The sequence below is a fragment of the Homo sapiens genome, chromosome 14 (genome assembly GCF_000001405.40).
Source record: "Homo sapiens chromosome 14, GRCh38.p14 Primary Assembly".
Lineage (NCBI taxonomy): Eukaryota > Metazoa > Chordata > Mammalia > Primates > Hominidae > Homo > Homo sapiens.
The window spans coordinates 50,090,932-50,102,068 of record NC_000014.9 but is presented as its reverse complement, the minus strand read 5'-3'; the positions used below and the strand labels follow the sequence as shown (position 1 = coordinate 50,102,068).

Below are 11,137 nucleotides of genomic sequence, written 5' to 3'. Positions count from 1 at the left end.
ACAGTACAGCAATGTACTGAGGTGCTACATATACAAATTACTATTTTCTTTTTTTTTTTGAGATGGAGTTTCGCTCTTGTTGCCCAGGCTGGAGTGCAATGGCGCAATCTTGGCTTACCGCAACCTCCGCCTCCCAGGTTCAAGTGATTCTCCTGCCTCAGCCTCCCTAGTAGCTGGGATTACAGGCATGTGCCACCACTCCCAGCTAATTTTGTATTTTTAGTAGAGACAGGGTTTCTCCATGTTGGTCAGGCTGGTCTCAATCTCCCAACCTCAGGTGATCCGCCCGCCTCGGCCTCCCAAAGTGCCGGGATTACAGGCATGAGCCACCGCGCCCAGCCACAAATTACTGTTTTTTTTTATACGAAGCTTAGATGAGAAGCTTTACACTTGTGTTTAGAATGAGTGTAAATAATCTCATGGCATATAATTCACATGGAACAAAGGACTGGCTTCTTAAAACTTAAAAACAGGAAAAACAAGTTTCACACTCCCACAAATAATAAATGTTTAACCAGAGAATATCTTTGGATTTCAGTGACATTTATGAATGTAGGTACAGTAATGTGCTTTTAAAATAACTATTTTCTTTCTAAATCTTGTTACAAGGATTTTTTTTTTTTTTTTGAGAGTGTGTTTCACTCTGTTGCCCAGGCTAGAGTGCAGTGGCATGATCATAGCTCACTACAGTCTCGACCTCCTGGGCTCAAGTGGTCCTCCTGCCTCAGCCTCCCAGTAGCTGGGACTACAGGCAACATACCACTATGCCTGGCTAATTAAAAAAATATTTCTTTTTGTAGAGACAGGGTCTCACTGTGTTGCCCAGGCTGGTTTTGAACTCCTGGGCTCAAGCAGTCATCTTACCTCGGCCTCTCAAAGTGCCAGGATTACAGCTGTGAGCCACTGCAGTGGATGGATATTTTAAAAAATTCTGTTGTTCAAAACTCTTCACTCTCAAACATGTATCTGACACCCACAGTCAGTCTGTTACTCTTGTTCCCTGTGAAATGTCTGCTTGTTAACCTGAGAGTCCAAAGAACAGGAGAGGCATAGTTTGGCTGGTAGGAACAATATTCCCAGTTAGCCCTGGAAGACAGTTCCAGTTCAGTTCTAAATCCAATCGCCTTCCCTTTATGCTCCCAAGCTTTATGAGAAAACAGCTCACTTGATTACCACCTAATCTACCTGTATGTCCTTGGGCAAGTTAAACTCTGCATGTTACTTTCCCTTTCTGTAAAATGAGAATATCTACTGGCTAACATTGTGGTGATGGTTAAACTAGATAATGTATGGAGACCATACTTAAGAAAGCAGTCTCCTCAGCTTAAGCCAAAACTGTTTGTTCTGAGAATCCAGACTGGTAAACTCTTGCAAACTAGAGAGGTGTACAAGAAACCATCCCAAGTAAATGACACATAAGTGGTCCAGGAAAAACAATCCTCAGTTGTTAGGAAGGATTCCAAGTTTAGCAGTGTGCCTGTTGTTTACCGTTACGTTCCAACCAGACATCTTCACCATGTCTTTTAGACCCTACCTTTGTCATAGGAAGAGAGAGGCCATAGGGGAAAATAATTGAGAGGTTACTCTTATCAAAAAAAAAAAAAAAAAAAAAAGTCCCGTAAGGCTTTAATGAGGCATGGGGCATCACTGGTTTGATACTTCCCAGCAGAATGCAATACCAAAAGCAAAAACAAAGAAATAGTCCCCTTTCAAAAACACGAAAGTCCCAAAGCAGCAGACTAGTGCAGGCCACAGAGGGCAGGAACAGAACTTAGCAAAGAAGTTCACTGAGACTCTGCAAAATACTGTAAAGTGGACAGCAAATGAAATATGGCTTGTTGCTGTTAGAGTTTCTCCACAGTTAACCCAAAACTGAGGACCTATGTGTAAAGAGTCTGGAACAACGCCTGACATAAAAGATCCTCAACAGTGGGGAGGGAGAGCATCAGGATAAATAGCTTAATGCATGCTGGACTTAATACCTAGGTGATGGGTTGATGGGTGCAGCAAACCACCATGACACATGTTTACCTATGTAACAAACCTGCACATCCCGTACATGTATCCCGGAACTTAAAATCCTCAAGACATTTTACTTCTCTTCCCTTCTCTCATTTTCAAATCTACCCTCAATGACTCTTCTCAACATTCAACACATTTATTTACTCCTTCAATTCAGCAGACAGGCACTGTGCTAGGTATCAGAGGTACCCATCAGTACTCTTTTAAATATTAGGGACAAATAATAAGATGCATTCCATACCCGTAAGCAGCTCTCACATCTGTAATGAGAGGCATATGCAAAACATAATTGCAACTCAGAGAAATGCAATCATAAAGGCATAAGCTAGGTACAGCGGCAGTGCAAAGGAGGGTGTGGTCACCTCTGCCTTAGTTGGTCAGGGAAGATTTCATGAAGGGACCATTAAGCTGATTTTTGAAGGATGAATGGAAAGCCACTGGACAGCTTGTCAGGTATTCTAGGCAAACACATGCAACAGCATCAAATGTGGTTTTGATGTGGCTCGAGCATAGGGCATGTGTAGGAGATGACTAATGGGTAGGCAGGAGGGCAGGGCAAGGACGTGCAGAGTCCATGTGGCGTATTCAGGAGTGCAGATGGATTCTGGAGGCAATGAGAGGATATTTCAATACTTTAAGTAGGGTAGCCACTTGGCCAAATCATTTTAGAAAGATTATTCTGACAGCAAATTTGGAGAGTGGGCAGGAGAGGGGCAAGACATGAGGCAAAGAGATCAGGAAGGAAGAATGAACAGGTAAGAGATGTTGAGGAGTGGGGTCTGAACTCTGGTAGTAGCAGTAGGAATGAAGAGGACGGGATCTGAGAACTGCTGTGGAGCTAGACTAAGGCAGATACAGTAAGTTGTGTAGGGGCCCGCGGTGCATCCTGATGGGGTCAAGGCCTCCACGGTCCTCATGCTGCCCTTCTGCAGGTCAGAGTCCCTTTTCTTTAAAACACTTTTATTTTGAAAAGAATTGTAATAACATTAATTTTATTAGAACTAGAGACTTTACTGTCCTTTGCCAGAAAATTGTCCTGTATATAAATCATGTAAGTTTGGAATCAACTGTTTTAATTTTTGGTTTTAACTTCAAAACAATAATGATGTCTACAGTGTGAATGGTGTCCCCTTCCAATGTTGCTCTTTGCTGTACCCAGCCTGAGTGGCCACACACTGTGACCCTGGTTACATGTATGTAATAGGCAGCTAAACACAAGCGGTCCTCTGTATATGTGAGTTCCATGGGTTTCAACCAAACACAGGTTGAAAATATTCGGGAAAAAAAATAGATGGTTGTGTCTGTACTGAACATGTACAGACGGAGTTTTTCTTGTCATTATTCCCTATACAAGACAGTATAACAACTATTTACATAACATTTACATTGTATTAGGTATTATAAGTAGTCTAGAGATGATTTAAACTATATGGGGGTAGGGGGTGGGTGTGGAGGGCAAACACATAGCAAATGGATGCTGGGCTTAATACCTAGGTGATGGGATGATCTGTGCAGCAAACCACCATGACACACGTTTACCTATGCAACAAACCTGCACATCCTGCACATGTACCCCTGAATTTAAAAGCTGAAGATAAAAAAATAAATTCAGTCCAATAAAAAAGTAATAAGCTATATGGGAGGATGTGTATAGGTTATATGCAAATACTACACTATTTTATACAAAGGACTTGAACATCTGTGGATTTTGATATCTGTGGGTGGTCCTGGAATCAATTCCCCATGGATACTGAGGGATGACCGTATATAGGTTTGGGGGCAGAAGAGAGGGTGGACTGAGAAAGATGATGTCTTTTCTTTTTTTTTTTTTTTTTTTTTGGCAAGACAGAGTCTCATTCTGTAGCCCAGGCTGGAGTGCAGTGGTGCTATCTTGGCTTACTGCAACCTCTGTCTCCCAGATTCAAGCGATTCTCCTGCCTCACCCTCCTGAGTAGCTGGGATTACAGGCGCGTGCCACCACACCCGGCTAATTTTTGTATTTTTAGTAGAGACGGGGTTTCGCCATGTTGTCCGGGCTGGTCTCGAACTCCTGACCTCAGGCCATCCACCTGCCTCAGCCTCTCAAAGTGCTGGGATTACAGACGTGAGCCACCGTGCCCAGCCAAGTTGAGGTCTTATAGATCACCCCAAATGTATAGATTGGGGGAAAGCCCAGGTTAAGGCCCTGGGAAGTACCAAAATTCAAGGAATTATTGGAAAAAAACAGAACACTTAAAGGTGAAATACTGAAATATCTTCTGCCTTGACTCCAGGGACAGTCAGTTCTCAAACAGGTTGATGGTCATATAGCTCCCATTTTTGTATTTCATACACTGAGACTTCCAACCTGACTTTCATCTGCCAGGATTAGATTTTATACATCTGCCCCCAAGTCAACATAATGATGCTGCCTGCTTAGCAGCTTAGCTATCTGCAGCAGTGCCATCTTTGCACCTTGGTACTTGGGCAGCTGTTTTAATACCTGGTCCTTGTTCTAAAAAAAATGAGAGAAGACCCCAAAATGAATATGTTGTTACTAATGATAAGCAACTCAGGTCTCAGATGAATACAACTTAGGATGGAAGCCACTGGTATTCAGAAAGCAGTAAATCTTGTAGCCTCAATAGCTGCTCGTTGGACTTAGTTTGATTGTGAGTTCACTTATGAAAAGGAATGAGGAAAATATGAGTATAGAACCAATATTGGAAATATTGTTGAACATGTGGATCTATTTCTTTTTCTTTTTGATACTGGAACTTTTCTCCTATTTGACTTAAGTAGGTCTGACTTTCTCCGCCCAGCGTCTGGTTGCTCCTCCGTCACCATCCTTCGTTCCTTTTCCTTCTCTGTTGCTTAACTCACAATTCCCTGGGGCTCTGTCTTTTGACCACTCACCTCTGCACACATAGATCTTGCAATTTTCATGATTCCAACTACAAGCTTATTGTAGAGGCCCCCTCTCTAGACCTCTAGCTCCGATCCCTCTCTTAAGTCTGACCTCTCCCCTTCAGCTGCCTGCCTGATGTCTTCCTTTGCTTGCCCAACCAAGAGTATGTCTTAGCAAAATTTCTGCAAAAATAGACTCTTCTGCCTCATATTCTTGTTTTACTAATGGCATCACCATTCTTTTAGCATTTCTAATTTCTTCTGCCTCACATGAACTCAGCGTGTCATACACTGATCTGTGATGGGTTCTCACAGTCTTCCCCCACTTTCCATCTTCACGGCCATCATCACCTCAGGTTGGGCCTCACTCCTCTAATAGTCTCCCCACCTTCAATATCTCTCTACACTTATCTGTGCAGGCGGTGGTGGCAGAGCGTACTCCTAACCTGGGGTTCCAGACTTTTCATCATGCTACTCCCAATAGCCCACCAAGTTCAGGAGAGACTTGGGTTTCCTGACCGAGGCTAACCCACAGGATTCCCCCTGCATAAGAGGCCCTTCTTTTCTGGGGTAGCTAGTGCCAAGGATAAAGTAAGTTTTGAGCTGCTCAAGAGTAAAAGTCAAGATAGAGGAAAGCAGAGTCTAGAAGCAAACAGAGAAATTAGAACGTTTTTCCGATGATTCTGTTTGAGTCTCTGAAGCCAGCTATGTCTAAAGCCACCGCAGCTCCTGGACTTCCCAGTTACCTCACCTAGTTAACTCTGTTCTGCTGGTTTGGGGCTGGGTTTCTCTCCCTTGCAGTGGATCAGATCCTAACTGGTAGAGCATTCAAACCTTTCAGCCCATTAAACCCTACTCTTAAGATCCTTCTCAATCATTACCTTCCCAGAAAGTAATCTGCTTTTTAAGTTTGCATTTTGTCCATAATACCCACCAGATCATCTTAACAGTTGATTTAGAAGCTTTCTAGAATAGTGTTGGTTGCTGATCATACTGTGGAGATCTTATCAAACTACAAAAGTAAGCGTTATGAAACTCATCAGAAAGTAAAAGGGAGGAAACAAAAACCTGCTGTGGGAGTGGTTTGATTTAAATGTAACAAAAGAGGAAATGTACTTCTTTGCACCCAGAAAGTGTTCAAGCCTGCACCTCTCCATCCCCCAATCAAGGGATCATTATTTAGTGAGAATAACTCAAGAGATGAGAAAATGAGTAGCTTACATAAGGAGGTAGATTCTGGGGCTTGGTTCTAACCCCCATGATTATGGGGGTTCCTGAGAAGTGGAGGGAGAATTGCAACATGTATTAGGAGAGGTACTTGGGCAGTGAGGTTTGCCATCTGGAGAGCAAGTGTTTTTTTGTTTGTTTGTTTTGTTTTTTCTTTTCGTTTTTTCTGAGACAGAGTTTCGGTCTTGTCGCCCAGGCTGGAGTGCAATGGCGCAATCTCGGCTCACTGCCGCAACCTCCGCCTCCTGGGTTCAAATGATTCTCCTACCTCAGCCTTCTGAGTAGCTGGGATCACAGGCATGTGCCACCATGCCCAGCTAATTTTGTATTTTTAGAAGAGACAGAGTTTCTGCATGTTGATCAGGCTGGTCTGGAACTCCCGACCTCAGGTGATCTGCCTGCCTTGGCCTATCCACCTGCCTCGGACTCCTAAAGTGCTGGGATTACAGGTGTAAGCCACTGTGCCTGGCCTTTTTTCTTTTTTAAAACTTATTAAAACAAACAAATCAACAACAACAACAACAAAATGAGGTCTTGCTACTTTGCCTAGGCTAGTCTTGAACTCCTGGGCTCAAGCGATTCTCCTACCTCAGCCTCCCAAAGTGCTGAGATTACAGGCATGAGCCACTGCACCTGGCCAGGAGAGCAAGTTTTAAAACTGGCCAGGTCACTATTCACAATAGCAAAGACTTGGAACCAACCCAAATGTCCATCAATGATAGACTAGATTAAGAAAATGTGGCACATATACACTATAGAATACTATGCAGCCATAAAAAAGGATGAGTTCATGTCCTTTGTAGGGACATGGATGAAGCTGGAAACCATCATTCTCAGCAAACTATCGCAAGGGCAGAAAACCAAACACCGCATGTTCTCACTCATAGGTGGGAATTGAACAATGATAACACTTGGACACAGGAAGGGGAACACAACACACAGGGTCCTGTTGTGGGGTCGGGGGAGGGAGGAGGGATAGCATTAGGAGATATACCTAATGTTAAACGATGAGTTAATGGGTGCAGCACACCAACATGGCACATGTATACTTATGTAACAAACCTGCACGTTGTGCACATGTACCCTAGAACTTAAAGTATAAAAAAAAAAGAAAATGGTTGTGAATATTTTGAGTCTAATAATAAATTTTGCCTTTCTTTAAAAAAAAAAAAAAATCTGACCAGGTGTTGTAACTCACGCTTGTTGTAATCCCAGTACTTTGGGAGGCCGAGGCAGGAGGATCATTTGAGACCAGCCTGGATAATGTAGTGGGACCTTGTCTTTACTAAAAATAAATTTCAAAAAATTAACCTGGCGTGGTGGCACATACCTGAAGTTCCAGCTACTGGACAGGCTGAGGTGGGGGCAGTGCTTGAGCCCAGGAGATGAGCCAGCAGTCAGCTATGATCGTGCCACTGTGCTCCAACCTGGGCGACAGAGCACGAACTTAGCTTAAAAAAAATAGTTTTAAAACTGAAGGTGTTTTCTTGTTGCTTTTCTCTTGGATTATGGGGAAAGTCACTTTCAGAGTGGAGTTTCAATTTTTTTCCTTTTCTGTTGTATTTCCCTTCAGTTACCCAGCCTTCAGGAAAATCTGACACTTGGGTACTGCCTATGTGTGGTGGCAGAAAGTGAAGACAGAGGCCAGTATAGGACACATACCTGCCCCACATCTACTGTTCCCACGGTAGAGTCCTAGGTTGATCTTAAAGGCAGCTTTGATGATTGACAGATGATTGGCTGCAGTTGTAGCAGAATTAACCAGCTTACCAGGTTAAATGTTGGGGTTGCGTGTGGGTGGGCTTCAGACTCAAAAATTGATGGAAGTGCCGGCTGGGCGTGGTGCTCACGCATGTAATCCCAGCATTTTGAAAGGCCGAGGCAGGTGGATCGCTTGAGGTCAAGAGTTCCAGACCAGACTGGCCAACATGGTGAAACCCTGTCTGTACTAAAAACACAAAAATTAGCCAGGCATGGTGGCGTGCGCCTGTAATCCCAGCTACTCGGGAGGTTAAAGCAGGAGAATTGCTTGAACCCAGGAGGCAGAGTTTGCAGTGAGACGAGATCTTGCTGCTGCACACCAGCCTGGGCAACAGAGTGACATTCCATCTCAAGAAAAAAAAAAAAAGAAAAAGAAAAAAAATTCTGACAGAAGTTCTGCCTCATTGATCTGCTTAATGTGATCAGGGATAACATAGGATCCAAGCTAATCCTGCCACTTAGCAATTCAGAGCTATGCATTTAGATGACGATCTCTGTCCAGCCCTGTGAAATATGAGCAGAGGAGCAGAGGTAGGTGTGTGTGTGTGAGACAGAGAGAGAGAGAGAGGGAAAGAGAGACAGAAAGGGTGAAAGCTGTTAGTAGGTTTGTAATTCTTGGTAAAAGGCTGGAGGGGAATCTATTACTTTATTTTTTTACTAGTGTCTCCAGAGGACAGATGTAACTTTCCAGATAGCCTTGAAAAATGTGACTGTTATTCTGCAACAAAAAACAAAAACAAAAACAAAAGCCATCATTTTTCATACTCCCCTGAGGTTCCTGGCAAGAAGCGTGAGATTCTATAAAGAGAGAGCCCAGGGTTTTGCCTGTTCAGCTGCCCCTGGTCAGGAGCTTGTGTGTGAATCTCCCCAGAAACACTTCCCAACCATAGGACATTTCCCTTGACTCTGATTCATCCATGAGTCCCCAGAGTATTTTGCTACCATCTTTCCAAACAATCCATGCCAATCATTGATTATGATTAGGAGCGTGGCCATGCAGACCCCCTCAGGTCACCCTGTCCCTCTCCTGGTTGAAGATTTATCTCAGCATCACTTGGTGGGGATTTTCTGGACTAACAGAAGCCAGAGGGAGAAGGCTGCACTCCTGCCTCTGCTGCTGACTGGCTGTGAGTTCTGAGGCAGGTCCCTCAGTCTGAGTTTGTTTTTTCACCTGTGAGACAGGGATGATGATAGTGGTGGTGACTTTTTTTTTTTTTTTGAGACAGAGTTTCCCCTCTGTCGCCCAGGCTGGTGTGCAGTGGTGTGATCTCGGCTCACTGCCACCTCTGCCTCCTGGATTCAAGCGATTCTTGTGCCTCAGCCTCCCGAGTAGCTGGGATTACAGGTGTGCGGCACCACACCTGACTGATTTTTGTATTTTTAGTACAGTCAGGGTTTTGCCATGTTGGCCAGGCTAGTCTAGAACCCCTGACCTTAAGTGATCCACCTGCCTCAGCCTCCTAAAGTGCTGGGATTACATGCATGAGCCACCATGCCCAGGCTGGTGGTGACATTTGTTATGTTCAGCCATGGAGGTCTTAGGGTTCTCGAATAGTAAGATGGATGTCAGAGCCAAACGTCAACTTGAAATCTGGATGGAAATGTGAGTTCCTGTGGGTATTTCTCACGGTTTACAAATGGCTTGATTATTCCTTCTTTCCCCTTCTCAGCTGCGTACCACATTTGAAAAGAACAAATGGGGCACCTGGACTTCCAGCTACCTTTGCTCACAGCAGCTGTCTGCAGATCTACTGCATCTCTGCATGAGCAGGGTCCTCAGCCCCTGCTGCATGGCAGTGGGTGGAGATGGACTATGGATCCGCTCCCCTCGGTCTCCCAGGCTGGCTTCCTTTCGGACCCTAGCTGATCCTGGATGAGATCTTATCAATCTTTTCCTCTCATGCTTTCTCTTCACAGAAGGTGACTCAAGACAAGGAGTCATCATCTCTCCTTATCTGCATCTGGCAGGCCAGGCCATGCGGCAGGTGCTCTGGGTACCAGCTGCCCATTGTTATGTAGAGGAGCAAATTCCTGAAGGGAGTGGCTACTACAGGACAGAACCTGGGACAGGCCAATATTTGATACCAATTATTATTACTCTTCTTACTGGAGCATAGTGGAGTGACCTGGTTTTGCAAATGTGTTTCCTTTAATTCCTTCAACCTATCAAATGAAACAACTCCTCAGCTCAATACTCTGATTTCATTATTCCTAGAAGAATTTAGGGTTGTAGACCTTCCCAGGCAGGCTGTAAATACTATTTTGGTCTGTGGGAGCTCCAAGACCTGATTGAAAGCAGCCTAGCCTGTGAGAAGCTCTGCTGTGGAGGATCAGGCAGCACTGGGACTTTGGGCTTCCAGGGTGCCAAGTTCTCACCAAGCCTGGCCCCTGGGACAGGGCTCCCTCCAAGCCCGAACCTCAGGGGAAGGCTCAGCAGTCACAGCCCACCAGTGTCCTCTCAGCTGCCAACGCTGCTCAGAGAGGGAAGTGCTGCTGCTGCCGGGAGGGGCACAGCCCTGAAGATTACGGAAGACAGTGGGCAGAGAATGTGGAAAATCACCCAGAGGTTGCTGCTCACACTTCATGTCTTCAGAGCATCACCCCTCATTTTATAGCTGGAGAGATGGGGTGCACAGCCAAGGAAAGCCAGGAACAGGTTCCGGCTTCCATCACTCAGATACTCAGGAATCCCTGGGTACCCCACACTGATTCACACTGCGCTGAGCTGTCCATGGCACAGAACCATTTGTCCACTGATGCTTCCTCCCTCCAGGGACACTGTCCATCTTCAACAAGGGAGGATCCCAGATACTCACCATGGGCATTCATTTTATAAAAGTCCCAACTGTGGCTCAGGGGTCGGTCCTTGCACCTTATTAGGATTTACCTATGACTTTATCTGCACTCACATAAGCACTAGGGGGACAGGAAGCTGTTACTGCAGTCCCGGGGGCCTCTCTCCCGATGCCTCCATTTAAAGACTTTGTTCTGTTTGTTCACAGTGTAGATCTACCGACTTTTTTGTGTGTCTATTTTAACTCACAAATTCCACGGCCTCCTCCTTGAAGACAAGAACAGCATCTTCTTTGCATCTTGCCCCATCCTTGCACTTATTGCTCAGGAATAGTTGATTATCCAGTTCCATAATTAATCTGTCTTTCCTTGAGCACCTACAATATGAGTTCTAGGTTCTACAGGGAATACAAAAATGAGTAGACATGAATGGAGAGCAGGGCAAAAG

General features: G+C 44.7%; 1 long non-coding RNA gene across 1 annotated transcript in view; it reads left to right on the top strand.

Annotated features, from left to right (window-relative positions):
• LINC01599 (long intergenic non-protein coding RNA 1599) overlaps positions 1 to 11,137 on the top strand; it is a 97,731-nt gene that overhangs the window by 2,975 nt on the left and 83,619 nt on the right. The window lies entirely within an intron of this gene.